General features: G+C 43.0%; 1 pseudogene; it reads right to left on the minus strand.

Moving 5' to 3' along the window:
* On the minus strand, window positions 927-1,540 carry MKNK2P1 (MAP kinase interacting serine/threonine kinase 2 pseudogene 1; annotated as a pseudogene).

A 4,844-nucleotide genomic window follows, 5' to 3' on the forward strand; every position in this document is an offset into this window, starting at 1 on the left:
AGGCGGGCAGATTACGAGCTCAGGAGATCAGGACCATTCTGGCTAACACGGTGAAATCCTGTCTCTACTTAAAAAAAAAAAAAAAATACAAAAAATTAGCTGGGCGTGGTGGCAGCTCCTGTAGTCCCAGCTACTCCGGAGGCTGAGGCAGGAGAATGGCGTGAAAATGGGAGGCGGAGCTTGCAGTGAGCAGAGATTGCGCCACCGCACTCCAGCCTGGGAGACAGAGCGAGGCTCCGTCTCAAAAAACAAAACAAAACACACAACAACAACAAACTTAAAAAAAAGAAATAATACTGACTTTAGCAGCAATCACAAACAAAGGGAATGATAAATGAGGGAGACAGATTATGTGCTTCTGCGTGCTGCAGACCGGAAGACTGATCTGATTTCCTGAATGAGGAAGGCTCCTTGCCCTTTCCTGAATCGAGGGGATGGCTTTGCTCAGCCAAGGGATAAGACGGGCAAAGAGGACATTCAGAGGACAGAGGAAGGTGGAAGGACCGCCAGAGGAGGGTGACAGAGCAGAGAGGGAACAGGTACGGGTCGGCAGCCTCTGTCAACTGATGCTTCTTGCTTCTCCCTGCAGGCTGCAGCCCCAGCCACCGCTAGAGCGGTGAGGGCACACCGGATCCCAGATCTGCAGGCGGCTGAGCAGGTGGAGCCCAGCGAAGAGATGTTCCTGCTGCAGGCAATTATGCAAAATGACAAGTGATTGCTTTCCTTTTCAAAGACAACCCCTTTGGAAAAAGCTTTTTCCTCGAGGACCCTAGGGAAATGGGGGGTTGGTGGGAACTTCAGGGCCTTCGTAGATGAAAAAGCCTGAATGGAGCCATAGAGCAGACGCTGCTGCCTGCTCTGCAGACCTTAGCCACACAGGTTTCCAGGGGGACAATGCCTGGCCAGGCCTAGGGCCTATAAGGTGTGACTGGAGCATTTCAGAGTGCTGTGGTTGGGCTCCTGTCCTCCGGGCCAGGGTGACTTGCAGGGAAGGGAAAGCTTCATGGAGCAGAGGCCATCAGCCAGTGCCTCTGGCTCCTCTGCTAGTTCGTTCTCTTCGTGCTGAGATAGCTGGCAGTTAAGGGCGATGGCCTCAGCTGCGAAGAGTGTCAGGTCCATTGTGCTGCTCTTCCTCTAGAGGACTTGCGGAGTGGGGAGTCCCTTTTCTGGAGCTTGCCCCTGCACCCGTGGGTGCTGCAGAACTTGGGCGGCGCTAAGTTTCTGCTTCGCATCTCGCCCCAGGAGCTTGGAGCTTGGAGATGAGGCATTTGGCCTCACTGGAGATGTGTGCCCAGTCTTTGTCAGGAAATTCATACTTGCCTTCCTGGATGCTTTCAAACAGCTTTTTCTGGCACACCCTGCAGACCTCACCCCGGTCCCAGCCACAGTTGGCCCCGCAGTGACCCACGAAGGGCAGGTAGCCACTCAGCATGATGTAGAGGACCATGCCCAGGCTCTCCAGGTCACAATGCTTATCGTAGAACGTGGCCTGGTCCACGAAGACTACCACCACCTCAGGGGCCATGTATTGACTACATGTTCAGTATTCTAATACTGTTATGTCAGAATGGGACTGAAACCTATTGTATATCCCTAAACAAAAATCAAAACCACTTCTTAGTTAGATGATGCATTGCCAAAGATCTGTGTATCTTTCACTAAGACACAAACTCAGGTGTAGGGATAGAATGGAGGTGTTGGTTTCCTTACAGTAACATTTTGGTACAGAACTTTACGGAAATGCATTTTAGTTAATCAGCCACTTAACGATGTACACTTTTCTGATATTACTCATGTAATAGTTATTTCTGATTGAACAGATCTGACGCTTAGTTATCCTGGTGTCAGAGCCAAAATTACAACAACTTTCAAGAACTTTAACCTTCCTAGATCTTCAGAACCTTGAAATTGGAGGTAAAATTATGACTTTGTCCACTCCACACATTTTACAGATGAGTAAATTGAAGTACATTCCTGTCTTAGTCTGCTTGGGTTGCCAAAACAAAAATACCATATTCCAGGTGGTGTGAACAACAGAGATTTATTATTTACATATATGTATTTTTTTTTGTCAAAATGGAGGCTGAGAAGTCCAAGATAAAAGTACCAGCATATCTGGTGTCTAATGAGGGCTCCCCCTTCCTACCTTGCAGCTGGCCATCTTCTTCTTGTATTCTCACGTGGTGGAAAGCAAAAAACAAGAGAGAATGTAAGCTTCCTTGTGTTGTCTTAAAAAGGCACTACTCCCATTTATGAGGGCTCCACTCTCATGATCTAATTACCTCTCAAAGGCCTTATCTCCAAACACCATCACCTTGGGGGCTAGGGTTTCAAGATATGAATTTTGGGGGAACACAAACATTCAATCAATAACAACATTATTTCAGTAAAATTGTATGCTTTTCAGTACTTCACTCATGATTGACCTTGTCTACCTTTCTATTCTTGTCTCCTTACTTTCCCATTCCTACTACTTAATTCTTGTGAAACATGAAACTGCATAAAGCCCTCACTAGATAAGGCTCTTGTCCACCAGGCTGACACCCCCTCCCCTATCCCAGTGCTCATCCCAGTGGTCCCTCTCTTTGAAGGCTTTCCTTGTCTTCCCCAGGACTCCATCTCTACCCACCTCCATGTTACCCCATTTTCCCCAATACCTTCTACTGACTACTATGATAACCCCTTTAGGGCTGTTTTTTATTTTCTAATTAATGTCTCAGTTCCCAACTTCTATGTAAACTCTTTGATGGCAAGTCTATGTCTTTCTATTATTGTTATCCCAGCCCAAATACAGTGTAATTACTGAACCAAGAGTAGATAAATATATAACTCGATTCCAGTGTATCACAAATTAGACAAAGGACAGGAAAAGTATATTAGTTTCCTCCACAGCTGCCATACCAAAAGAGAACAAACTTAGTTGTCTAAAACAACAGAAATGCATCTGTTCACCATTCAGGAGGCCAGAAGCCTGAAATCAAGTTATTGGCAGGAGTTGTTCCTTATGGAGCCTCTGAGAGAGAAATGCCCCATGCCTCTCTCCTAGCTTCTGGTGATTGCCAGCAATACCTGGCGTTCCTTGACTTCTAGGTACATCACTTCAATGTCTACCTCTGTCTTCACATGACCTTCTCCTCTCCGTGTCTCTCTGTGTCCTATCCTCTTCTAATAAAAACACTAGTCATTGGATTTAGGGCCCACTCTAAATCAAGAGTGACTTAATGTCAAGATCCTTAACTAATATATTAACAAAGCTTATTTCCCAAAAAGTTCACATTTTTAGGTTCTGAGTAGACATAAATATCTGGGTATAGTATTCAACCCACTCTAGAAGGCTAAAATGGTATCCCTAGTCACTTTTTTTTTTTTTTTAGTGTTAGAGCTGAGACTATAAATCCCTATTTCCTTGGAGCATACTATCTCTTAGATCATTCATACATTTGATTTAGTAACTAAAAACCATCAACCTGTTTGCTTTAGAGATTTGAAAGACAGAGACGCTCTTCCACAAATATCCTACTTTTCTAAATGAAATTAATGGAATTAATTTTCAATGCTCTGTCCTCTGTGTCTGACTCTTAATGATTTTGCTAGGATGAGAAAGTTTGTAATTAACTAGGACAAACTAGGAGAGAGATGGGGTGAGTTAGAGCTGACTCATACTCTGGAGGATGTGTGTGGCTGTATGTACCTCTTAAAACTTCTAATTCTTGAGCGTTGTATTTATCTCAAGATAGGTAAAACTATTTTTAGGAAACATTTTTTTTCTTTCCTCACAAAAAGAAGCTCTTCCTTCCCCAGACTGTTTGCTAAGCCAGTTACAGCTACACCAGCCTGTAATTTTTCTTTCTTCTCCCCTCCTTTCTTCTGCTCTCCTCCTCTCTCTTAAACAGAAGTATAGAAATTGAGTCAATCTTGCAGTGTTCTTTTCATCCTGAAGAAAAAATTCTCAAAAGAAGCCAACAGATCAAATAAGCCACCTTAAGTTAAAATATTTTCAAATATTTACGCTTTGCTATAGTCTGAATATTTGTGTCCCCCCCCCCACCACACAAATTTATATGTTAAAATCCTAACCCCCAAAATCATATTAGGAGGTGGGACATTTAGGGATGTGATTAGATCATGAGGGCAGAACTCTCATGAATGGGTTGAGTAGCTTTACAAAAAAGGCCCAGAGAAGTTCCTGTGCCCCTTTTCCTATGTGAGGACCCAGAAAGAAGTCAGTAGTCTACAAAGAAGGTCCTCACCAGAATTGAACTATGCTGGCACTCTGATCTTGAACTTCCCAGCCTCCGGAATCATGAGAAATAAACTTCTATTGTTTATAAGGCACCCAGTCTAAGGTATTTTGTTATAGTTGCCCAAATAAACTAAGAAATTCCTTGATCCATTTATTTTCTGTGATGGCATTTCTCTTAACATTCTAGTCACTTTGAATTTTCATTTATATTAGCTTCACCCCATCTCTTTAAGGTATTTTTTATTATGCCCATTTTACATTTGAGGAAAGTGAGATTCAGAGAGTTGTACCATGTGTTCAGAATTGCATAGCTAGTAAGTGGTAGCGCTAGGTTTCCAAACTAATTCCTCTGATTTCTAGTCTCTAGCTCTCTCCTAGTTTTCTGTGTCTGTTTTAAGATCATCTCACTTAGAAGCTTCATTGAGAAGCTTTAATCCTTCTACATTTTTATATTACTACGAAGATAACAAAGGTCAGAGTTGGTCTTGGGATATCCGTAGTTTCTTCCTGCTGCTGTACTCATGGGCTTGGATTTTTCTTGAAGCTGACATAAGAATTGTTGATAATAGTACTTAAATGACCATCAATCAGGAATGTTCTT

Source organism: Homo sapiens, chromosome 10, assembly GCF_000001405.40.
Source record: "Homo sapiens chromosome 10, GRCh38.p14 Primary Assembly".
NCBI classification, from domain to species: Eukaryota; Metazoa; Chordata; class Mammalia; order Primates; family Hominidae; genus Homo; species Homo sapiens.